This window comes from Homo sapiens, chromosome 21 (assembly GCF_000001405.40).
Source record: "Homo sapiens chromosome 21, GRCh38.p14 Primary Assembly".
NCBI lineage: Eukaryota > Metazoa > Chordata > Mammalia > Primates > Hominidae > Homo > Homo sapiens.
In genome coordinates this window covers 30,368,226-30,395,012 of record NC_000021.9, presented here as the reverse complement: position 1 = coordinate 30,395,012, position 26,787 = coordinate 30,368,226, and the positions used below count along the sequence as shown (strand labels likewise).

At 38.7% G+C, this 26,787-nt stretch overlaps 1 protein-coding gene, 1 long non-coding RNA gene and 1 other non-coding gene across 3 annotated transcripts in view; all 3 read left to right on the top strand.

Annotated features, from left to right (window-relative positions):
- The window catches only part of LOC105372772 (uncharacterized), an 82,493-nt gene extending 80,696 nt beyond the window's left edge, over nt 1-1,797 (top strand). Inside the window, exon 4 of the long non-coding RNA XR_937653.3 lies at nt 1,653-1,797. This is a non-coding gene — a long non-coding RNA (uncharacterized LOC105372772). The remainder of the gene's footprint in view (nt 1-1,652) is intronic.
- A 17,837-nt stretch (nt 1,798-19,634) lies between these two features.
- On the top strand, nt 19,635-19,719 carry MIR4327 (microRNA 4327). The gene has a single exon (NR_036221.1). It is a non-coding gene; the product is annotated as a microRNA 4327 (primary transcript).
- A 3,022-nt stretch (nt 19,720-22,741) lies between these two features.
- Nucleotides 22,742-23,623, top strand: KRTAP13-2 (keratin associated protein 13-2). Its single transcript, NM_181621.4, has one exon. It carries the CDS (start codon nt 22,800-22,802, stop codon nt 23,325-23,327), a length of 528 nt encoding a protein of 175 aa, NP_853652.1. The 5' UTR covers nt 22,742-22,799; the 3' UTR covers nt 23,328-23,623.
- Nucleotides 23,624-26,787: the final 3,164 nt, after the last annotated feature.

The following is a 26,787-nucleotide window of genomic DNA, read 5'->3' as shown; positions in this document are numbered from 1 at the left end:
AACTTCCATAGTTAACAAAACCCAAGATGTCACAAAATCAAGACAATAATATACCTTTATCATCATCCTCATCTATAATCTTTTTCTACATTTTTTGGTTGCATAGTCGGTCTTTGATCATCTCTACACATGACAATGGTTTTGTCCACATGATTTTCTGTAGAACAAATGGAAGTAAAACTTGGTGTTTCTTTTAGAAATAGTACATCAAAAATACTTGAATTATTTTTTATGACACAGAAAAGTTTTTTTTTTTTAACATTGCCATTTGTTGTGAGCAACGCCACAGCTGTAACACCCTCTGTCATTTCATTTCAGCAGTGCTTCAAGCCTGAGATTGTGCGCCTCTTGTCCAGATGTCCCTGGTTCACCTCCCACCTGTATCTGTTGGCAATTTGCATGAGGATCGGCTGCAAACAGCTGTGGATCCAGGGTTGTAGGGGTCTTCTAGTTTGTGGCAGAGCAGTATCCTCGTTCCAATCCTTCTTCTTAAAAGGAAAACTATGGGCCGGGGGCTGTGGCTCACGCCTGTAATCCCAACACTTTGGGAGGCCGAGGCGGGCGGATCACAATGTCAGGAGATAGAGACCATCCTGGCTAACACGGTGAAACCCTGTCTTTACTAAAAATACAAAAAATTAGCTGGATGTGGTGGCGGGCGCCTGTAGTCCCAGCTACTCGGGAGGCTGAGGCTGGAGAATGGCGTGAACCCCGGAGACAGAGCTTGCAGTGAGCCGAGATGGCGCCACTGCACTCCAGCCTGGGCGACAGAGTGAGACTCTGTTTCAAAAAAAAAAAAAAAAAAAAAAAAGGAAAACTTTCTAAGGTTTATAAGGTTGACCCTGGGGACTAGATATATTAGAAGTAGTGCAGGCAGCTCTCCGGATACACCCACAGCCTGAGGATGCCACGAGGGACTCCTAGGCCACAGCAGCATAGCTGGAGCAGCGGGTTCCTCCCAGTCTCCCCAGGAGTGATAACAGAGCTTTGGAAAATGTCAGGCAAGAGAAGTACCCTCAAGCTTACCCTTCATTAGGTTACATCTGTCTCTGCCTCTGCCTAACATGCCCTGCCCAAGATGTCTGAGCATGTGCTCATGACAGTCTCTCTAAGACATCAGGGACTTACATGGAACACCAGGTCTCCCTCGGACACCTGTCAGGACAATGTGTCTCTCTGGAGCTCCAGCCTCACTTTTAGTAATTACTTTGCTGTATGTGTTGTTGGTGTTTTTCTTGTCTTTGCTGCTGTTTAATCCCAAATCAAAACAGAAAACAAAATAAGAAAATGTCTGATAGCTTTATTATGTTCTTTGGATATATGTTTTCTAAAAATTCAAGACAAATTCCCTGACAGAATATATGCCAAAGTCCAAATATGTGATGTCAGGGGCTCAAGAAGTATAAAGCCATGGCTAATGTCATGGAATTGCAAATCTATTTAATAAAAAGGTAATTATACAACAGATACTGAAAGTATCAACTTTTTCTTAATGTAAATGTATGTTTAATTGGAATTTTCTTTAGAACTCACTAGATAAAACTTGCATAAGTAAAAAAAAAAAAATGACAAAGAAGCTTCCTCCACATCAAACAGCTACTTTTAACAACTTTATCTTGTGATCTTCTAAATATCTAAATTTCTGTCTATAGGCTCTTGGCAGCTGCGAGAAAAGTCCTAGCCCACAAGATGCTGTGAAGACCATTTCTTTCTCAAATCCTCATTTTCCAAGGAACTTTTTGAAGATAACCATCCTATCACAACTAAGGGTAACTTTTTGTTAACTGGAAATAATCAAATTAACAAAGTCAGCAAATGTGTTTATCAGGGCTTACCCTTATGACTTCCCTCCCCGCTTTGCAATAGTGCCCTTCTCCTCCCCATGCATATCCTGCCTTCCCTGCACTAATGGGCTGGTGAATGGTACCAGTTGAAATAATAGACCATAAACTCACAGGTCCTCTGTCAAATCCAGCCCACATAGGTTCATTCATCTCACAAGTGCAGGCCCCCCCGGGCATTTTATTCAACTATAAATTAGTTGCTAATATTCAACAATCAAAAATTCACAAAAATTTGGATTTGTGATTTCTTTTTTAAAAATTCTGAAAGTCTGGTGATCCTGGGTTTTCTCACTCACAGTTGGCTGGAACTGAAGAAGAGTTGCTCCACGGATGTGGGACATGCTTCTTATCATCCCCACAACTCTAACCACCCCTCTTGTCTCCCAGCTCTACAGCCAAATTTCAGTTGTGACTACGCATCAAGCCTGCACTATTATTTTGTTGTGTTGGTTAATGTCTCTATCATAAGTGAGAGAATGTGAGATGAATTAAGAAGCTTTGGGTTTCAAGAAAATTTCTGAAAACTATATTCTCGTGCACTTGACAAATATTCTTTCATGTTTAATAAGAAAATACATCATGTCTGTGATGATGGATTAGAATATGAAGCATCAATCATCAAACAAATCACAAATCCACTGAACCACCTCACTTATATTTATGAGCTGCCTACATCATGTAGTGGCTTGAAATGATCTCCTCTGACTTCAAATACTTTATAAGCCAGCAGAATTTGAGTTGGTTTTTATATGCTGGGCAAATGCTTAAATCAGTGTTGTCTAACTTCTGAATATGCAACAGAATGAACAATGGGTCATTTTAGGACATACAAATAAACCAAAAAATAATTAATTACTTAAATAAAAAAACAGATGATTAAATTCCTCCTAAGGCTGCCTCATTCGTGGTTCTCATGTACCACCATTTTTGGAAGTTACTCCCTTAAATTAAAAGGTTAACATCTAGCCAGGAGCCCACAGGAGATCCTCATAGCCCTGTGAAATCATGCTACATGCCTGACCACCATAACCCCCTCTGGACACGGCTTGTCTGTCCAAGTTTATAAAGTACATTAAAAATAGAGGAAAGGTAATCTATTTTCTGCTTGTAGTATTATAATTTGATTGTAATGTGCAGTCTTTGATAATAATATGCTGTCTTCTGTCTTCATGCTATTGCAAAGATGTAATAGCTATTGCAAATGCTCTCATTCAAGAATGCTGAAGATGGATTTAGTGGCATTAATATCCATCCTGCAAGATGGAACATCTTAGAGTCTGAACAGAGGCCATGTCACTACCCAGTGACATTGTACAGATGGTCTCATGATGACTAGTAATGACTCCTTTCACCATAAATACCAGAGCAAATAGTGATTTTGACAGGTGATGACAGCTGAAATTGGGAGGCAGAAGAAAAAGGGCCTTCAGTTAGAAATCAAATGAATGGCATGATGAATATGCCTGTAGCACAGAAACAGTCCCTAGCATATAGTAGGCACTCCATAGATAGACGTTGATAGAATGAAAAGGGAAGTTAGGCATGCAGATGTCTTATATGAAATCAAGCGTCTCAGAAGCCTATCTAAATGGTAACTATTTTGCCTTTGTTCATTCTTTGATTTGGCAGCTGAGTGAAAGTTGGCTATATCTATTAATAGATTTGGAAGCTTTTTCACTCAGAAGTAGGAAGCCTCAACAGTGGATCAGATACAAACCATGGGCTGGCCTTTATCTAGCTGGAATCAAATCCTAGCCTAGTGGAAAAAAGCGAGATAAGGGGAAAAGAGAACATGCTAGAAGACATGTGTGTGAGCACCCTTCCTTCTCTGCCATTTTTGAAATGAGGAAAGTTCCTTTATGCCCCTCGCAGGGCATGTAATAGGGTGTGGCTCGCTTCTTCTGTGCCCCACAGCTCAAACCCCTAGCAGGGAGCATGCAGACCAGCAGGTCATGGGGAGTGTGGGCTTGGACCCCATGGCAGCATCTAGGGTTGAGTGTTTACAGCTCCCAAAGCCCCAGTGGGCATATGTTATAGTCAACTCTTTCAGCTTAGCTATCTGCAGCTGGCTTGTGTTAATCAGCTCAATTAGACCCTCTGCCTTATCACAAGGACAAAAGACTTTCTGTATCTTAGGGTTCTTGTCCTAGTGTACCAGAAAAATCAGATCACATGTGGGCTTGGAGGATTAGTGCAAGGTTTTATTGAATGGTGTAAGCAGCTCTCAACAGATGGGTGGGGAGCTAGAAGGGGGATGGAGTGGGAAGGTGGTTTTGCCCTGGAGTCGGGTGGCTCAGAGGCTTGGCTCTCCTCTGACAACCCTCAGCCAAATTTCCCTTGGTGTTCCACAGCTGATGGCCTGCCAGCATTTGTCAGTGTGTTCTGCTGGTGTGTTCCGCTTGACGTCCAGCCGCCTGTGTATTTGCCCACTAGGTTCTCGGGGTTTTTATAGGCAGAGGATGGGGACATTGTGAGCCAGGGTGGTCTTGGAAAATGCAACATTTGGGCATGAAAACAGGAGTGCCTGTCCTCACTTTGGTCTGAGGGCACAGGCCCTACCCAGCACTTCCCTGCCCCCTTCCCATATCACTTTGAAGAAGTCTGGCCTCAACCTTATTTTGGATGTCACCACTGTCTCCCTCCTTTCCTTCTGTTTAAAGTCTTTGCTGGAGATCGAAGAAATGACAAAACAGCATACAGAAGGGAACTCCATATTTACTCAGCATTTCTTCATCTAACCTCTGGAAGGTATCATAGGATTGGGTGAGATTTCTGTTCATGAACTCCCTTTATTCCTGAAGGGAAAACAAACAAACAAACAGATATGGACAAGGAAGATGTGGATAGGAGAGTAGGAAAAAAGGAAGCAAAAGGGGGAGTTTATTGCAAGGTGTTTCTGTATTTTCAGAGCGCTAGAAGTAGAGGATATTTGAGGTTCCTCTGTGTACTAGGATTGCGCACTTCTTTTTTTTTTTTTTTTTTTTTGAGATGTAGTTTCACTCCTGTTGCCCAGGCTGGAGTGCAATGCTGCGATCTTGGCTCACACAACCCCTGCCTCCCGGGTTCAAGCAATTCTCCTGCTTCAGCCTCCCTAGTAGCTGGGATTACAGGTTCCCGCCACCATACCTGGCTAATTTTTGTATTTTTAGGAGAGACAGGGTTTCACCATGTTGACCAGGCTGGTCTCAAATTCCTGACCTCAGATGATCCACCTGCCTTGGCCTACCAAAGTGCTGGGATTATAGACATGAGCCATTGCGCCGTGCCTGGCTTGTGCACTCTTGAAAGAAAAGAAAGTAAAATCAAGTGAAGAGTCCTAGACAGGACCCTTAGCCCTTCTTGGTTGGCTGAGCTCTGTGGTGGGTGGATGATTAGAGGCACAGACATGGTAGAGGTAAAATATCCCAGTATCTCTTGGTAACAACTGGAGAGAGCCCCAATGTTTGAAAAACCTTTTGCTTTTCTTCCTTACTAGTACTGTAAACTGCTTACCTTTCTTTGTTCACTTTCCATTTCAGTGCTGAAATCCTATGATGTTAAGATTTGGTTGTGGCAATATTGCTGGTGCCCAGAGAGTATTCCTTTGCAATTTCTGTCCCATTCCAAGTGGATTGAGGCTTTCATGAAGGTGGTTAAAGAGCTTTAGGATGTAGTTGAGACTACTTATTCCTGGGGAAGTGTTATACACAGAGTTCCTTCTTTCTTTTTCATTATTTTCCTTGATATTAACTTTTTCACCTACCCTCATTCCAGGATTTGATTTATTTTTAAAGACTTGGGATTTAAATCAAGGGACAAAGAAGGTAATCTCAGGTCATTGTGGAATGCAGTGTATTTGACCACTTAGAATCTTCAACCTTGATGATTTTAAGAAATGCTGTTCAAAATGTAGATGTCAGAATCCCACCAGCCCAGAGGGTAGTTCTAGGGTGGGGGCCTGCCATTGCAATTGTGGGACAATGAAATGTAGAAGCTCAGCATGCATTTTGCTGTCAGAACACTTTGCGGGCAAACTCTGATGCTGCCCTTTTCAGCACTGCCTCGCTTTGCTCATTGTGTGATTGTGAGAATGAACTGGGATAATATAAATAGATAAATAGAGATACTGAAACATAAATATCCAGAGTACTGCCAGCTGGTTAGTAAATCTCTGCTGAAATAACAAAGCAAACCCTTGCCAGGTGATGCTGAGGTATCAGATTTGAGAACCACTGCTGGAAATAGTTTTAAATACGTTTTTGTGCTTCAAGTCATTCTTTGGCATAATAGCAAAATGTTCAGGATTAAATGAGAAATTTGGAATTTCAAACACTATACTTATTTCAAAATAAAACCATAGCACCTGCAACACAATATTGAGAGCACTATTTTAAATCTTCATGGAACCAGTCAGCTTTTCATAAATCAGTGATCAACAACCTCCTAACTTTACGATTTAGTTTCATGTCCCTATGGTGTGTTTCTTCTTCATTTACCCTTCTTCTCTAATTTGTCTTTTTTTTAATCTTTTTTTTTTTTTTTTTTTGCTTTATCTCTGTTCCGTTCTGTATGTTTTTCCTTTCTTTATACTTATTTTAAGCACTCCTTTTCTTGGTTTGGCTTCTAAACTGGGAATAATTTCAAACTGAGGAAGTGTTTTTTTTTTTGTTCCATCAATTAAATAGCATTGCTTTTCTATTTATTGGTTGAATAAAGTTGACTCTCCTCTACGTTTGTTTCCAAAAGTAGTTGAGTATTTTTATTCATTTCTCTTAAAATGTTCTAAATTTAATTCGTTTTTTTGGTGCTTTATTTAATTTTAGACTAGAAATCATTGAAAACTTTCCAGATTCTAATTTACATTTTAAAATCTCAGCATTATAATGCCTTTTTAATTGAATGTTCTCAAATGGCAAACAATTCCAAGATGACTTGCAACAATGGCCCTAATAAAACTTTTTAATAACCATACATACATATCTGGCCTCCAGAGCTATTAGTCTGTTGTTACCTTAGGACACCCTAGCTTTGTACGATACCCCATCTTAATTTACCAGACCGGAAGAACCTGGAAGATAGGAACAATGTCTATTCCTCAATTATTGACTGGCAATGGACTTTCAGTAATGTTTATTAAAAAGATGAATACAGGTATTTTTAGCATGAACTTTATTACTTTTACTTGTTGACAACAGAAAATATATGATTATCATTTGATGAACTATGAGATTTTGCTGTCTGATTCCTTAGAAAACAGACATAAAGGGCATGGCATCTGGTCACCATGAGATGGCAGGAAATGGGAGGTGGCAGGGGACCCTGCCAGGTTGCATGGTGATTTTTGGCCATGGAAATAGCCACCTTCATCCTTAAAATAAGAAATGAATGATCTGTTTCTCTTAAGTACATGAATAAAACACATTCAGCCATATCTGCAGAGGCAAATCAATGTTATTTTAATTAGACAACTAATTAATGAAACTGCAAAGTACTCTCTGAATACCAGGATGTTTTCTCCCGATACCAGTGGTCAAGGGTATATAACATTCCTTGGGAGAAAATTTGTTAGAATTCCTTATTAAATACAAGGAAAACTGCAGTCAGGAAACAATATCTAATTGAAATTCTATAGTATGCATTTTTTTTTTAACTTTTAGCGATGGCCTGTCTCCTGTTATATGAGTTGAATTTTGTCCTCCCATGAGATTTGTATTTTAAAGTGCTAACCCCCTGCACCTCAGAACATAACCTTATTTGGTGATAGAGCCTTTATAGAGACAGGCAAGTGAAAGTGGGCCCATTTCATTCGTATGACTAGTGTCCACATAAAAAGGGGAAATACAGACACAGAGACAGTCCCACACAGAGGGAAGATAACGTGAAGAGACACAGGGAGAAAACCATTCAGGACCATTTAGGGAGATGGCCATCTGGGGAGAAGTATCCTAGAAAGAGGCCTAGAACAGATGCTTTCCTCACACCCCTCAGAAGGACTCACCTGCCAATACCTTCATCTCAGCCTTCCAGCCTCCAGGACTGTAAGACAACACATTCCTACTAAGTCACTCAATTTGTGGTACTTTGTAATGGCAGCCCAAGCAGACTAATATACCCGCCATCTGTCAAAGTGAGTTCCTCCCATCCCAGGTATTGAGTGGCCACAGGGACCTCCTTCACCCAATGTCTACCATGTTTCTCCTGGCCAGCAAAGAACCTAGCAGCCATCCTGTGCCCTCTTATGGACACCCTTTCATCAGCCTGTCCAGAGGACAGGGCTTTGAGCATGGGGCTGTGGACTCTGCAGTTTTCAGCCTCTGTGGATGAGGGACCTCCCTTGACCCAGATTATGGGCTGGGTTTCTGTCACACTCATAATTGCTCCTCCAGGAGAAGTCAGTTCACTTTATTCCCAATCAATTTGTGGACACAGGTCTAAAGAGCAGCATGTTGCCTTTCTAGAATCTCATAAATTTTTTCATAACTTTATTACTAAAGAGATTCTAGATTTTCTAACTCATGAACTGCCTATTCATTTCCAAAAATGAGGTCTTCAAAAGCCATCTTCAAGAACTTAGCTGAAGCTTTTTAATATAGTAGTGACCTATGCTACAGCTAGAAATCTGCAAGTTGTTACTCCTGAAATTATCTCTCTTCTCCCCCTTTCATTTTCTCCCTTCCTCTCCTCTTTCCTCTCTCTGCCTCTTCCTTTCTTAGAATACAGTTTATGTTTCATATTTTCTAGATCCTCTCTTTTCCAATGTGTCTCCCCAAAACAGAAATATTCCAACTACTTTAAAATCATCCTCTTAAGTTAACATAGAAATTGGGTTTTTGTTTTCACTTATTTTTGTGTGTCTTGTATGCTTCTAGTAAGTTTCCTCTGGCATGAAAATCCACTGGTCCTGCTTGGGAAGGCCATTTAACTGTAAGGTATAGCACTTCTGGAGACTATTAAAGGCAAGTGCCCAGATATTGAAATCACTGCAATAGCTACATTCTTAATTAGCTCTCCTACTTAATTTATTTTCTTCTCTTGGTCTCTATCCAAACGTGGAGCCACAAAAATATATTTTTTAAGTCTGAATAGTGATTAGCTTTTCCCCATCCCTTGTGTGATAAATCAAAGAGTATAACTTAAGAAATGTGTTGAGAAAAGTTCTTTCTACTGTGCTAGCTGTTCCACTTGAGACCTAAGTGTTATCTCAAATAAGCAGAATCCAAATTCAACCTAAAGTTAGAATACAGTTCTTGCCATCTTGAAATATATTTCAGGCTCCTAGAAGAGTCAGAATTTAGGATAATTTGAGAGAGGATTTTATATTAATAACTTAGACTGCTGTGAACTCATAAACTTCATTTTTTCCTTTATTTATGCATTTATATATCAACTCATCTGATCGAAATGAATAATACCTATTCTGTTTAAAAATCTCATACTTAGAAGAGTAAATGAAATAAATAGAATAAGTGAATGAATGAAATGAATGAAATCTGCAGTAAGACAAACCTAAACTTGAGCATAATTCTATCATTTATGAGAGGTGACCTTATGTTATTAAGATTTGTTGGTCTCTGTTTCAACATCTAGAAAATGTGAATGGTAATAACACATATTTCTTTGGAGACTTAAATGAGGCTACATATGTACAATTCCTGCTAGGGCCTTTGGACACATGTTGGTTCTGCTACTTTCCAACCCTTCCATCTAGCTGCCACGTTGCTCTATATCCCTTTGTTTTGATCTCTCTGTATCCAGGAAGCTTTCTTGGACTAAACTTCCTCAACTTCTTAGTGTCATGTCTGTGATTTCTCCTCTATGAGCTTACTTTCTGATTTTTCATAGTCCTGGTCTTGTCTTTTTAGAGTTTTTATTTTCATGTCTACCTTCCTATGGCATCCAAACTAGAAATTAACATGAAATAATATGAAGGGTCAACTTTCAGGAATGTGTGATGAAATTGACAAATATATTTGAACCAGTGGGATTTGTTAGAGAAAAGGTAGAAAAAGCTTCATGGGAGGAAGCATGTTTTGAGGTGGATTTTCAAGTTCAGCTCTTTGGAGTTCAGTTGAATTGAGATACTAAAAGGTTAAGATATCAGGGTGGAAGTGTTTTTGTCATTTCCTTAAGGGGACATAGAATATTTTTTGTATCCTTGAAGTCTAGGGTGGTGGCATAAAGCTGTAGTAGATCTCAGGTATTGGATAAATCATGCTTAGATATCAATATAATTAAAATTTATTTTCACCATAATTGAAAAACTGGAGCCAAAACAGATCTTAAACATGATTTAACCCCGAAATATTTTAGTATTTCCCACTTTGCTCATCTAATATTTCTTTATTCTTTACCCTGCTGCCTTCAATCCTTCATTCTCCATCCACCCAACCATCATCTCCCATCTTTTGTATTACTGAGGCAGTACATGCAAAGGTTAAGAGTAGAGACTCAAGTAAAACTATCACACTACATCATTTCTGCTATTGTAGCTCATCTGTAAGAAGGATATACAAATTATTACAGATTTACTATGAGTTAAATACTATAACTTATGTGCCATGAATAATGCTTAGCACAATGCCTGGCTAAATGCTTTAAATGCGCATAAAATGTTTTTAAATGTTATCTACTATTATTTTTTATAATTGAGATTCCTCATTGTGTTCCTAAATTAAGCATTAGGCCCTCTAATCCATTTTACATGATTTTTTTTTAAAAAAAGAACTAGGAATGCTTTTAGGTATGTTTCTAGCTCTAAAGAACCTCTGGAGTTTCACACCACTAGAATGAGTTAACTTTTGTTAGTTCAGTGTCATCATAGTCAAGATATTAATGTTCACAAGTACAGTGAATTAAATTCATATACTATAGCACCATTCACAAAAGCTTTAAGTGAACAAATACATCTTAACAAATGTGGTTTTCTATAACATGGATTATAGCCACATGTTCCAAAGTAAAGAGTTCTCAAAACTATTATAGTAAATATATCAAAATTATAGAAAATCAATTTGCACTTTTTGGTAAATGAATTTAGACAGAGCCTCACCACTATGATGAGGTATAGAGTATTTCGTGACTTAGCTTACATTTAATAGCACTGTTTTGTATATATTTTCTAATATTTTTTTCTAATCCATATAAATAAGACTAATGTCTTTCTCAGATGGTGTTTTACCTTTTCAAAGACATGAATTAAGAGTTTCTTATTTTTGTCCCTTTTTAGTGCTGTCGATATATTAAAGCTTGTGATTTTAAATATAGCTTAATCTTGGATGAATGATATTAAAATATCTACATATTTTAATGTACAAGTTCTACATTATTAACATTATTGAAACAAAATGAAGACATGATAAATCAGCAAAAAGAGTAAATACTAGAATGACAAATAATCATCTTTCTGATGAAATAACTGTTTGCTAATACTTTAATGCCTGATTTGATGACACTGATTAAAGCCTTAATGAATAACCACTCACAATAGTTACCTTTAGCGTGTCAGCTTGGCAAGGCTATGGTAGCCAGTAGTTTGTCAAATGCCAGTGTAGATGTTGTTGTAAAGGCATTTTTTACATATGACTAACATTTAAAATAGTAAACTTTGAGGAAAGCAGATAGCCCTTCATAAATAATAGGGGTATACCTCCTCATATTTGTTGAAGGCCCTAAGAATAAAGACTGAGGTTTCCTGAGAAAGAAGGGATTCTCAAGACTGCAACATAGAAACTGCCTGAGTTTCCCGCTTACAGCACTGTGAATTCAGACTCAAGACTGCATCATCAACTCTTACTAACTCTTACCTGAATCTCTAGCCTGCTGGCCTAATTTGCAGATTTTAGGGTTGTCAGCCCCCACAGTTGCATGAACAAATTCCTTAAAATAAATATTTCTCTTTCTTCATACACAAACACACATATTACACACACACACACACACCCCCACACACTCACATACACACCCTATTGGTTCTGTTTCTTTGGAGGACCCTGACTAAAACTCTCTTCAAGAAATAGCTGACATTTTCATTATTAACTATCAATATCTGTCTAACCAATTGATCACGTGCTTCTTGAATCTCACTGCAACTTTACAGTGTAGGACTACCTAGCAAAAAACAAAACTAAACAACAATGTAGTCATATGGAAACTCATTGTGGAAACTGAATTATAAGAACTTGATTTTCACCTTCAAGTCACAGAATTCTGCAATTGTTAGGACCTACAGCAGCCATCCAGTCCTGCCTCTGGCATATGTAAGAGCTAAAATAACTTGCTGTAATTCAGTGTTGTTTCCATTCTAAGACATGAAAACTCATCTCTATTAATGTAAGAGATAAAACATTACAATCAGTGGTTTCTCACACTATTTACTTGGTAGGTTTAGTAACACCTTATTCTTATGTCTTATGTTAAATATGTCTGTGCTTTGCTCAGTTCCCAATGAGACTTTGTTTCTGTTATGCTATAGTGCTGAATTAGAATGAACACACAAGCAAAAAGCAAGGAACACAGTAACTCTGTTACTGACTCCCTCTCTAGCCCTATAAATTTTTCTTTTTTGCTAGATTACGTGCGTCTTTGACAATTTTCAAGATGGAGATTTGAATACTAAGTTTTGAAAACAAAAGAGAAATTGAATATTTCTCAATCTTCTTAGAAGAATCTGTAGTGTTTATAAACTGAAAAGCAAACTGACAAAGATTGAGGACGTCTACTAGCCTGCATCAGTTAAGTGGTCCATCTAGCACTCAAGTGACAAACTTCACAAGTGCAAGGAGAAAAACATGTCACCACATTCTGTCACCTCAGTAACATACTGCCAAGCAAGACACTGAGATCAAGTCAGGTAGGGAAGTGGTCATGCATGTCCATGCAAAATGATGAAGAGAAGAGAACTAGGGCACCTGTTCAACTGGAGCATGTATTATAATTGTAGGCTGTGAAGAGTCATGTTATTCAAAAGATGTTTGGTTTCTTTAACATATTTTTAATAAAGATACATGATAATATTTTATTCACATGAACTGTACAAAAGGACAAGTATAGTGCTGTGGCAGAAGTTATTAACATAGAAACAAAACAAAATAGGGTGAAATAATAAATATGACATTGTTGCTTTCATCTCTTCTTGGTTCAGTTTATGTCCAAGACAATATAAATGAACTTGCCTTACTTTCTGGCCAGGGTGCCCCTAGCAATGGCTTATGTTATTCCTATGGTTGAAAGACAGGTTGTCACTATTTCTGATATGTCTGCAGATCAAGCAGATTGATATAACCATTGTTGCTGGACCCTGAGATCACTTACAGCAATACCACAGATTAAATGAAAAAATTTCTTAACAGGCACAAACTAAGAGAGCTCACTCAAAAATACCTAGACAGCCTGACTAGCCCTGGATCTACAAAATAAATTAAATTAAGAGTAAAAAAATTCTAACAATGAAAATTCCAAGATAAGATGGTGTATTAGACTGTTTTCATGCTTCTGATAATGACATACCCAAGATTGGGTCATTTATAAAGAAAAAGAGGTTTAATGGACTCCCAGTTCCAAGTGGGTGGGGGTCCTCACAATCACGATGGAGGGCGAAAGGCATGTTTTAAATGGAGGCAGGCAAGACAGAATGAGAGACAAGTAAAAAGGAAAACCCCTTATAAAACCATCAGATCTCCTGACACTTACTCACTACTGTGAGAACAGTATGGGGGAAACCACCCCGATGATTCAATTATCTCTCACTGGGTCCCTTTCACAATACATAGGAACTATGGGAGCTACAATTCCAGATGATATTTTGGTGAAAACACAGCCAAACCGTATTATTTCACCCCGGCCCCTCCCAAATCTCATGTCCTCACATTTCAAAACCAATCATGCCTTCCCAACAGTTCCCCAAAGTCTTAACTCATTTCAGCATCAACTCAAAAGTCCACAGTCCGAAGTCTCATCTGAGACAATGCAAGTCCCTTATGCCTATGAGCCTGTAAAATCAAAAGCAAGTTAGTTACTTCCTAGATACAATGGGGGTACAAACATTGAGTAAATACAACTTTTCCAAATGGTAGAAATTGTCCAAAACAAAGAAGCTATAGGCCCTATGCAAGTCTGAAATCCAGCTGGGCAGTCAAATCTTAAAGCTCCAAAATGATCTCCTTTGATTCCATGTCTCACATCCAGGTCACCCTGATGCACGATATACCAAGAGATTTTTAGCTAAATTAGTCTTCATCAAACTAGAAACATCTGTTTTCAAAGACTTTAATAAGAAAATGAAATTAAAAGTCACAGACTGGAAGAAAATATTGTAAAAACATATACTTTGATAGAGGATTTGAATCTTAGTCTTCTGTGTAAAAAAACAGTAAGAATATAATTATAATGAGATAACACACATAGAAAATGTTCAAAAGATTTGAACAGACACCTCTAAAGGAGAAGTATGGGAGGCAAAAAGCACATGAGGAAATGTTCAATATTATTATTCATTAGAGAAATGCAAATTGAAACCACAATGGGACACCATTACATGCCAACTAGAATAGACAAAATAATAAGGATAATACATACAGTGCGGTTGAGACTGTGAAACAAGTGAGATTTTCATACATTGCTATTGGAATGCAAAATGGTATAGCCACTGTGGAATATAGTTTGTCAGTTTTTTATAATGTTAAACATGTGGTTACCATATAAACCAGTAATCCCATGCATAGGTATTTACCTAAGAAAATTGAAAACATATTGTATTAGTCTGTTTTCATACTGCCTTAAAGATACTACCTGAGATTGGGTAATTTATAAAGAAAAAAGATTTAATTGACTCAGTTTTGCATGGCTGAAGAGGCCTCAGGAAACTTACAATCATAGCAGAAGGTAAAAGGGAAGCAAGGCACATCTTACATGGCGGCAGGAGAGAGAGAGAGCACACAAGGGAACCTACTACTTGCAAAACCATCAGATCTCATGAGAAGTTCCTCACTATCACAAGATCAGCATGGTAGAAACCACCCCCCATGATCCAATCACCCCCCACCAGGCCCCTTCCTCAACATGTGGGGATTATAATTCAAGATGAGATTTAGGTGGGGCCACAGGGCCAAACCATATCATTCTGCCCTTGGCACCTCCCAAATCTCATGTCCTTCTCACATTTCAAAACCAATCATGCCTTCCTAACAGTCACACAAAGTCTTAACTTATTCCAGAATTAACCCCAAAGTCCAAGTTCAAAGTCTCATCTGAGATAAGGCAAGTCCTTTTCTGCCTATGAGCCTGTAAATCAAAAACAAGTTAGTTACTTCCAAGATACAATGGGGGTACAGGCATTGGGTAAATGTTCACATTCCAAGAGGGAGAAATTGGCCAGAACAAAAAGGATACAGGCCCCATGTAGCACAGCCATTAAATATTAAAGCTCCAAAATAATTTCCTTTGAATTCATGTCCCACATCCAGGACACGCTGATGCAAGGGGTGGGCTCCTAATGCCTTGGGCAGCTTCTCTCCTGTGGCTCTGCAGGTTATAGTCCTCATGGCTACTTTCACAGGCTGGCATTGAGTGTCTGTGGCTTTTCCACACACACAATGCAAGCTGTTGGTGGATCTACATTTCTGGGGTCTGGAGGATGGTGGCCTTCTCATGGCTCCACCAGACAGTGCCCCAGTGGGGACTCTGTGTGGGAGCTCACACCCCACAGTTCCCTTCTGCACTGCCCTAGCAGAGGTTCTCCATGAGGGCTCTGCCCCTGCAGCAGACTATTGTCTGGACTTCCAAGCATTTACATATATCCTCTGAAATTTAGACAGAGGTTCCCAAACCTCAACTCTTGTTTTCTGCACATCTGCAGGCCCAATACCACTTGCAAGCCACCAATGCTTGGGACTTGCACCCTCTGAAGCAACAGCTGTAGCTATACCCTGGCCCCTATCAGCCATGGCTGGAGCTGGAGCTTCTGGGACACAAGGCATCAAGTCCTGAAGCTGCACAGAGCAGCCAAGCCCTGATCCTAATGTATGAAGCCATTTTTCCCTCCCAGGCCTCCAGGCCGGTGATGACAATGGCTCCTGTAAATGTCTCTGACATGCCCCTGAGACATTTTCCCCATTGTCTTGGCTATTGACATTCAGCTCCTCGTTGCTTATGCAAATTTCTGCAGCCAGCTTGAATTCCTCTGCAGAAAATGGGTATTCCTTTTCTATCACATGGTCAGGCTGCAAATTTTCCAAACTTTTATGCTCTGCTTCCTTTTTAAAATAAGTTCCAATTTCAAAGCATCTCTTTGTGAACACACATAACTGAATGCTTTCAGAATAAGCCAGGTCACATGTTGAATGTTCTGCTGCTTAGCAATTTCTTCCACCGGATACCTTAAATCATCTCTCTCAAGTTCAAAGTTTCACAGGTCTCTAAAGCAGGGGAAAAATGCCACTAGTTTCTTTGCTAAAGCATAGCAAGAGTGACTTTGCTCCAGTTCCCTATAAGTTCCTCATCTCCATCTGAGACCACCTCAGCATGGACTTCGTTGTTCATATCACTATCAGCATTTTGGTCAAAACCATTCAACAAGTCTCTAGGAAGTTCCAAACTTTCCCACATCTTCCCGTCTTCTTCTAAGCCCTCCAAACTGTTCCAACCTCCTCCTGTTACCAGTTCCAATGTCGCTTCCACATTTTCAGTTTATCTTTATAGCAGTACCCAACTCTGCTGGTACCAATTCTCTGTATTAGTCTGTTATCACACTGCTATGAAGATACTACCTAGGACTGGGTAATTTATAAAGAAAAATGGTTTAATTGACTCATAGTTCCTCATGGTTGGAGAGGCACCAGGAAATTTACATCATGGTGGAAGGTGAAGGGGAAGCAAGGCACATGTTACATGGTGGCAGGAGAGAAAGAGAGTATACACAGGCAGAAACTGGGACTTTTAAAACCATCAGATCTCATGAGAAATCCCTCACTATCATCAGAACAGCATGGCGGAAACCGTCCTCATGATCCAATCACCTCCCACCAGGTCCCTTCCTTGACATGTGGGGATTATAATTAGAGATGAGATTTGAATGGGCACACAGAGCCAAACCATATTACATATGTCCACAAAATTATCTGTATGTGAATGTTTATAGCAGTTTTATCCACAGTAACTCCAGACTCAAAATCATCTAAATGTCCATTTTCTAGTGTATAGCGTACATACAATGAAATACCACTTGGCAATAAAAGGGAATAAACTACTGGAATATGCAACAACATGGATGAATTTCAAAAGCATTATGCTCTGTGAAGGAAGTTAAACACAGAAGGCAACGTAATGTGTAATTCCTTTTATCATGCAGTTCAAAAAATAAGACTATAGGAACAGAAATTTAGATATTGGGGAAGCAGATTGATCCAAAGGAGCACAGGAGAATTTCTAGAAATAATGGAAATACTCTATCTCAATCAATTGATGATTACATAACTATATATGTTTGTCAAAACTCATTGAACTGGGAAGCCAAGGCAGGAAGATTGCATGAGGCCAGGAATTCAAGACTAAACTGGACAACACAGTGAGAATCTGCCTCTACAAAAAAAAAAGAAAAAAAAATAGCTAGGGGTTGTGGTATGCACTTATAGTCCTAACCACTCAGGAGGCTGAGGCAGGAGAATGACTTGAGCTCAGCAGTTGGAGGCTACAGTGAGCTATGATCACACTACTGCACTCCAGCCTGGGCAACAGAGCAAGCCCTTGCCCCCTCCACCAAAAAAAGAACAGAAAGGAAAAAACCCATTGAACTGTACTCCTAAAAATGGTGCATTTCATTTTATGGGAACTGTGTATCCACAGATCTGACTTTACAAAAGAGTCAAACAACTGACCAGAGGAATATATTAGCAACATATGAAAGACAAAGGCATACAAAAAGAATGCACAAATTCTCTAAAAATACATTTAAAAGAACAAATGACTCCATAGAATAATGGCTAAAAGATAACAAAATATGAGAAACTAAAACAGGTCTGAGTTACACAGCTAAGTGATGGAGCTGGGATTCAAACTCTGCCAGCCTGAATCCAAAAGCCTTGATCGTAACTACCATGCTAGAATTGAAATTATGTATGTCCAGCAATTGCATCTAAATATACATGTTCCAGAAGCCCTAGACAGTAGATGCAAGGGCCTATATAGAAGTATATTTCTTGCCACATGGTTTGTGATAGTAAAAAATCAAGAATGGTAGAGCGATATATCAATAAAATATTTTTATACAGTAGAATTCTATAAATTTGTAACAAGGAATAAACTAGATGTGTGTATCATAGCAACATGGTTATTTGCATAAAGTCTGACAATGGTGTCAGTATTGCAGTTCAAATCTCATCTCTGCTACTAACTACATGGGTAGCTTTGGCAAGTAACTCAATCTGTTTGTGTCTCAGCTTCCTCAGCTATAAAACAAGAATAAAAGTGGTGTGTACCATGTAGAATTATTATGAGGATTGAGTTAATATTTGTAATACAGTGCTGAGAACAGTGCCTGACATTTAAAAGTTCTACTGTAGTGATAATAAATGCACAAATATATAAATATCAACTTGGATATGTTTTAGATATTTTTATTTAAATAAATTTAATATAAAAAGAAAGCTACAGATACATATATGTATCCAATAAGATGGCATTTTTGTAACTTAAAACAACAATAAATGGTATAAACCGATAAATATATGTATAGACAATTTCCTGGAATGCTATGCAAAAACGAATGCATTATTGTGATGCCTTTGGAAAGATATGAAAAAGAATCAGACTGAGAGACTGGCCCACAAGGGGTCTCTCTCTGTAAGATAGCGAATAGAATGGTGGTTACCATAGGCTTGCAAGGGTAGTGGAAAGAAAGGACAGAGAGGTGTTGGTTAATGGGTGCAAAAATATAGTTAGATAGGAGGAATAAGATCTAGTGTTCAGTAACACAGTACAGCAACTGTGGTTAACAATAATGTATTGCATATTTCAAAATAACTAGAAAAGTAGATTTGGAATGTTCTCAACACAAAAAAAATGATAAATGTTTAAGGTGATGGATATGCCAGTTACCCAGATTTGATCATTACACATCGTGTGCCTGTATCAAAATATCACATGTACCCCATTAATATGCGCAACATTATGTATCCATAAACATTTAAAATAAAAAAGAGAAAGATGAACGCAAATCTGACAACGTGGTAACAATTGTGAGTTTAGGCATCCAGAAAATGACTCTAGAATTTACTTTAATTTTCTATTTGTTTTCAGTAAATGCAAGGGTAAGGTCTCAGAAGAGATAAGAAGAACCGAGAGGTGTGTAAGCAGGCTGTTTATAAATCTTTTTGTTTGTTTGTTTGTTTGAGACGGAATCTCACTCTGTCGCCCAGGCTGGAGTGCAGTGGCATGACCTTGGCTCACTGCAACCTCTGCCTTCCAGTTTCAAGCGATTCTCCTGCCTCAGCCTCTCCAGTAGCTGGGATTACAGATGTCTGCCACCACGCCTGGCTAATTTTTGTATTTTTAGTAGAGACGGGATTTCGCCATGTTTGAAAGGCTGGTCTCAAACTCCTGACCTCGTGATCCACCTGCCTCGGCCTCCCAAAGTGCTGGGATTACAGGCGTGAGCCACTGCGCCCAGCCTGGCCTTTTTATTTCAAACGAAAGTCATGGATGATGAAGACATAAAATGGATGAATTTGAAGCAGGAAGAGCTGTAGTGAAGTTAGAGGAGGTGCCAGGGCCTGGAAAAGTCTCAAACAATGAGGCCGGATGACCTCCGAGAAAGCCACAGGCCTGGGTAGGCTTGCATGGGGGACTGGGAAGAGACCATGAACAGGTTAGTCCAGGGAGTTCTCATCAAGCCTTTACTCAGTAGTGGGTTCTTCATAGTTAGCATTAATGTTTAATAGATACATTTCCCCTTGGGTGAGAATTTTAAAAATAAAATCTAGTGTAAAGCAGCTGTTATGAAGACTCTTTAGTGACCAGACAATAAAAGCCTCTCCTAGGTCTAGAGAAGGCAGAAAATTAAAAAGTGAACAGAAAGTAAAAAGGTGGCCGGACGCGGTGGCTCACGCCTGTAATCCCAGCACTTTGGGAGGCCGAGGCGGGTGGATCATGAGGTCAGGAGATCAAGACCATCCTGGCTAACATGGGGAAACCCCGTCTCTACTAAAAATACAAAAAATTAGCCAGGCGTGGTGGCGGGCACCTGTAGTCCCAGCTACTCGGGAGGCTGAGGCAAGAGAATGGTGTGAACCCGGGAGGCAGAGCTTGCAGTGAGCCAAGATTGCACCACTGTACTCCAGCCTGGGTGACAGAGCCAGACTCCGTCTCGGAAAAAAAAAAAAAAAAAAGAAAGTAAAAAAGGTATAGGGCAGTATATATGGATTTTTACTATTTCTACTACTGCCTAATATTTGGTTAATTTGAAAGCTTTTGAAGAATCTCTGGAAACATTGCAATAGAAGATTGTCAGTTTAAAGCTTCTGCTACATTACTATGTTAACTTGGAAAAACAATCACTTTTCAAGTAATTCAGATCATAGGCTACTTGTGGCTACTGTGTACTGTAATGATAGTTTTATTCTCTGTAGTGTTGTTATGCCTAAATTTCTAAAGAGAAAAGAGAAAGAAGAAAGAAAGAAAGAGAAAAGAAAGAAAGAAATAGAAAGAAAGAGAAACAGAGAAAGAGAGAGAGGGAGAAAGGGAGGGAAGGAGGCAGAGAGAGAGGGAGGGAGGGAAAGAAAAGAAAGAAAAAGAAAAGGAAAGAGAGGCAGAGAAAGAAAAGAAAGAAAAAGAAAAAGAAAGAGGGAGGGAGGGAAGGAAGGAAGGAGAGAGAGAGAAAAGATTTCAATATCACGTTTTCCCTGACATATCAAGATAGTGAATTTTTCTTTCTATACTAATACTTTGCCTGTGTATGTAGAGTACGTAGAGTATTTTATTAGTTCCAGAATCCACTTTTGAACTGTTAAGGCTACTCTAGTTTTGTTCTGCTTTTTCTGCCTTTCAGATGGACACATTTATTAGCATTTGGGAGTTGTTCATTAGCATTTGTACAAAGTGCACAAATAACTCCTAATAAAAAGTGTTAACCCAATTAGGAATGGGTGGAGGGACTGTTAATTGGAACTGACTTACTCCCAAGTTATTTTAGTGTTTATTCCCAGACATAGGGAGCTGGTCTAGAAAGGCAAGAACTTTTGGATATTAGTAAGTTTTTTGTTTTCTTTTTTTTGAGCAGAATCAACCTGTAGTAAGAAAAGAAAAATATTTCTCATTTTAAAGGTGTTAAAAGCTGCCATTATAAGGAATCCCATGTGTTGGGGGTGGTGCATACTTTTTGGTGAATTTAATAGGTGTCCATTCATAAAGCACAGCTTATTTTACTTCAGTGAATCAGAGTGATGGTTTAAGTATTGCACAAGGGCACTTCATGTGATGCATGCCACACTTTGGATTCTGCATGGGAGAGATAATCATAAAACAAAGTAACTAAGTGCTCTGAAACAGTGTGCTTTGGAATGAAGGAAGTTAATTTTCAGGTAGTTAAGAGGCTCTCTTTTCGATAACCATTGTGAATGCCATTTCCCTTAGTTAAACCAAATAAAATGTCAAATTCAAAAGAAGAAGAATAGACACAGATAAGAAGCCTCTTCCCCCCATTAATCTAAACATGGATTACCAATATTCTTTCTCTTTCTTGGGCTAGGAAGTGAAATATACTTCAAATGTATGAAGATCAGTAAGGCATAGAATTCCCCAGTTGAACACTATTCAGTGTGAATATTGTTAGGAAAAGTAAATAAGGCTTTGTTAGGCTTTTATATCTTAGTATAAATAAGCTTAATAGTTTCTTTTCTGAGACAAGTTAAAGTTGAATTTACTTTTATATTTGCAAGGTATTTGCAACTTGACTCTGAATAAGAAAACCATAATTAAAGCTTCAATTTTGCTTCTATCTTACTGAGAAATTAGGGGAAAGTTAAAGCTCTCTGAGAGGTAATTTTTCCATGTATGGGTTGAACAGGGGATGTTTAAAGACCCATATAACTCTAATACTTCAAGTTAAAAGCTTCAGAAAAATGTTAACAATTCCTCAAAGTTTAAGTATAAATTAATAATTGCAGCTAAGAATCTGTCCTTTTATCCAGAAAAAAAAATTGAAACATAAAACAAAATAAAATTTATGAGTTGATTTAGAGCATAACCATAGAATAGTGCTTGCTACAAGATAGGTTCATCAGAAAATATCTGAAAAACTTCAATTTAAAGTCTTACTAAAAAGTTTGTGTTTATTGTTTCCTAAGTGAGCATTGTCTAAAGTAGCCTCTTGTTAAGGAAGATGCCTGATATGGACACCCAACATAATGCTGCACTCCTCAGTTCTGATCCTGAGCTCTTAAGGTACTAGTAAAAGGTTTAACTGACAGATTGCTGAGGCTACTGAATACAGTTAGTATTTGGAGAAATCCTCCGTTTCTGGTAACAAATAATATGCTTGTGTTAAAAAGAAGGACAATCTATTTTGAGTAGTAACCACTGATGCTCCTGATAACTTAAGGGAAGTAAAGAAAGAATTTTGTGTAATTCCATTTGGTACAATAAGGACTCACTGTACTCAAATAATAAGAGGCAAGATACTCATAAATGTGATGACATATAACATTGAAGGTCAAACCACAGTGAATTCCAGGAAAAAAAAAAACTGAGTGGCTTCCTTCTAAGTGTTCCAGAGTGACTAAAGTACAAGTAAGTATATGAAGATGTGATAAATTAAACAATAACCTAGGGAAGCATTCTTATAATAAAAAGTGAGCAAGGAGAAGGGAGTGTCGAGACAGTGGACACACCCAGGTCTAAGAGCATATATAACTTGGAGTCCAGACTATGACATTCAAACTCAGAGAATCTTTCCACTATAACTCAGCTGAACTCACATCTCCCGTCAACATGTCCTACAACTGCTGCTCTGGAAACTTCTCCTCCCGCTCCTGTGGTGACTACCTGCGCTACCCAGCATCCTCACGTGGCTTTTCCTACCCCAGCAATCTGGTCTACAGCACTGACCTCTGCTCTCCCAGCACCTGCCAGCTGGGTTCCTCTCTCTATAGGGGCTGTCAGGAGATCTGCTGGGAGCCCACCAGCTGCCAGACGTCCTATGTGGAGTCCAGCCCCTGCCAGACCTCCTGCTACCGCCCCAGAACCTCCTTGCTCTGCAGTCCTTGCAAGACGACTTACTCTGGGTCTCTAGGCTTTGGATCCAGCAGCTGCCGCTCCCTGGGCTATGGATCGAGGAGCTGCTACTCAGTGGGCTGTGGGTCCAGTGGTGTCAGATCCCTGGGTTATGGAAGCTGTGGCTTCCCTTCCCTCGGCTATGGATCTGGATTCTGCCGCCCAACCTACTTGGCTTCTAGGAGCTGCCAGTCTCCTTGTTACAGACCAGCCTATGGATCAACCTTCTGCAGATCAACTTGCTGAATTTCCAGACCTTTTAAGCAAAGTGTCTCAGTCTCTACGTAGAGCTGTTATCATAGGCATTTCCAGCAATGTGAGCTAACCCCTCTTACTACTAGCTCTTCATCCTTTCTCTGGCATCAAGTACTGGCTGGACAGGCTAGTTCTTTCAGACTGTGAAATTAATGAATGAGCAAAATATAGAGTCAAATGTCTATAATTTTGAAACAAGTGATTCGTTATCACGTAAGTTCATCTTATAAAGTATATGGAAGTTCAGTTTTGTTTCACGTAATAAATTCATTTACTGTTGATTCCAATATGTTCTCTTTGTCTTTTATTGGTTTCCAAAGTTTGATTTGTGATCTGTTTTGGGGGCTCCAGGCCCCCAGACGTCTTTTCCTTGGACATCCATTTCCATCGGTAATGTCATCAGGCCTAGTGTGTGGGGAGATTCTCCGGGCATGCCAGTGCCTAAAAGACTGAGCAAGTGCATGTCTTCTGCCATGAAAACTGGTTGGATTCTTAACAGAATTATTGAGAGTACACTCATAATGGTGGTGTGTTTTCAAGGAAGACACATTTTGCTGACAATCATATTTGCTTTTTGTTTACATTTTTAAAAGAGTATTTAGAGTTTTCTCAGAAGATGTCAACTAGGTGATTAAATATAAAATTATGAAATATTTGAATAAATCTGAAATGTTATGATGGAAAAGGGAAAATATGAAATGTTAGGTACTGGAGGACATTACGGTTGTGTTTAAATATAGGAGAAAATTAATTATTCAGTGTGTGTGTGTGTTTGTGTTGTGTGTGTGTGAGAAAGAGAGAGAGAGCACAGAAGACAGAAAGACTTAAGGTTTACAACTGTGAGTAATGGAAACAGTTATAGGGAGAAATACTTTGGCTTGTTTTAAATGTATATTTATAAATCATAAATTTATAGAACTATTATGACCTTTGTGTTTTCTTTGGATTATTGAGTTTATCAACAAGGAAAAAGATATTACTTTTCAGTGATTTCTGCATTGAGTGGCAGTTAAAATTAGATTACTTTCAATGTTCTAGATTTTATAACCTCCCTCAGTATCCTTGGAATCCACTGCTCAGCTGTGACAGTGTGAATAAAAATAAATATTTGTAGGATGCTATTCACATCTGAGATATAAGACCTTCTCTATTTATTTTAATTTAAGCAAGTGATTTCTTTCAGAGGCTAAAGGTAGTGTAAAAGTTCAGCTAAAACTTTTTCATAAAATATTCAATAACAACTCTCCATGAATGGGAAAACAACTTTGAAAGATTATCATTTCCTCCAATAATATGTCACGAGCTTTAATTGATTTTTTTCCCTGACACCTTTCCCTTAAGCTTTTTATAATTAAACCTGAAAAAAGAGGGTATCTTTTCTCTTATAATGGAGACAATACGGGCTAAGCATGGAAGTGTGGGAACCACATCCTCTGATCATAGAAACCTGCCGCCACAGAAACTAGAAGAATAGAGAAGGGAAACACGGGAAGAAACTCCTGGCAACACAGAAGCCTCTGATTCCCATGTACCTTAAGCCAGCTTTATTCATCCTTTAAGTGCTTTGATCATATGGGTCAATAAAGTCTTCTTTAGGTTTAAACTAAATAAAATAATTGAAATAAAATAAGACTTCTGGCACTCTCATACAAAGATTTACAATACTGGCAAACCAAATCAAGCAACACATCAAAAAGCTTATCCACCATGATCAAGTGGGCTTCATCCCTGGGATGCAAGGCTGGTTCAACACACACAAATCAATAAACGTAATCCAGCATATAAACAGAAGCAAAGACAAAAACCACATGATTATTTCAATAGATGCAGAAAAGGCCTTTGACAAAATTCAACAACCCTTCATGCTAAAAATTCTCAGTAAATTAGGTATTGATGGGACTTATCTCAAAATAATAAGAGCTATTTATGGCAAACCCACAGCCAATGTCATACTGAATGGGCAAAAACTGGAAGCATTCCCTTTGAAAACTGGCACAAGACAGGGATAACCTCTCTCACCACTCCTATTCAACATAGTGTTGGAAGTTCTGGCCAGGGCAATCACGCAGGAGAAGGAAATAAAGCGTATTCAATTAGGAAAAGAGGAAGTCAAATTGTCCCTGTTTGCAGATGACATGACTGTATGTCTAGAAAACCCCATCGTCTCAGCCCAAAATCTCCTTAAGCTGATAAGCAACTTCAGCAAAGTCTCAGGATACAAAATCAATGTGCAAAAATCACAAGCATTCCTATACACCAATAACAGACTAACAGGGAGCCAAATCATGAGTGAACTCCCCTTCACAATTGCTACAAAGGAATAAAATACCTAGGAATAAAACTGACAAGGAATGTGAAGGACCTCTTCAAGGAGAACTACAAACCACTGCTAAATGAAATAAAAGAGGATACAAACAAATGGAAGAACATTCCATGCTCATGGGTAGGAAGAATCAATATCGTGAAAATGGCCATACTGCCCAAGGTAATTTATAGATTCAATGCCATCCCAATCAAGCTACCAATGACTTTCTTCACAGAATTGGAAAACACTACTTTAAAGTTCATATGGAACCAAAAAAGAGCCTGCATTGCCAAGTCAATCCTAAGCCAAAAGAACAAAGCTGGAAGCATCATGCTACCTGACTTCAAACTATACCACAAGGCTACAGTAACCAAAACAGCATGGTACCAGTACCAAAACAGAGATATAGATCAGTGGAATGGAACAGAGCCCTCAGAAATAATGTCACATATCTACAACTATCTGATCTTTGACAAACCTGAGAAAAACAAGCAACGGGGAAAGGATTCCCTATTTAGTAAATGTTGCTGGGAAAACTGGCTAGCCATATGTAGAAAGCTGAAACTGGATCCCTTCCTTACACCTTACACAAAAATTAATTCAAGATGGATTAAAGACTTAAATGTTAGACCTAAAATCATAAAAACCCTAGAAGAAAACCTAGTCAATACCATTCAGGACATAGGCATGGGCAAGGACTTCATGTCTAAAACACCAAAAGCAATGGCAACAAAAGCCAAAATTGACAAATGGGATCTAATTAAACAAAAGAGCTTCTGCACAGCAAAAGAAACTACCATCAGAGTGAACAGGCAACCTACAGAATGGGAGAAAATTTTTGCAATCTACTCATCTGACAAAGGGCTAATATCCAGAATCTACAAAGAACTCCAACAAATTTATGAGAAAAAAAACAAACAACCCCATCAAAAAGTGGGCGAAGGATATGAACAGACACTTCTCAAAAGAAGACATTTATGCAGCCAACAGACACATGAAAAAATGCTCATCATCACTGGCCATCAGAGAAATGCAAATCAAAACCACAATGAGATACCATCTCACACCAGTTAGAATGGCAATCATTAAAAAGTCAGGAAACAACAGGTGCTGGAGAGGATGTGGAGAAATAGGAACACTTTTACA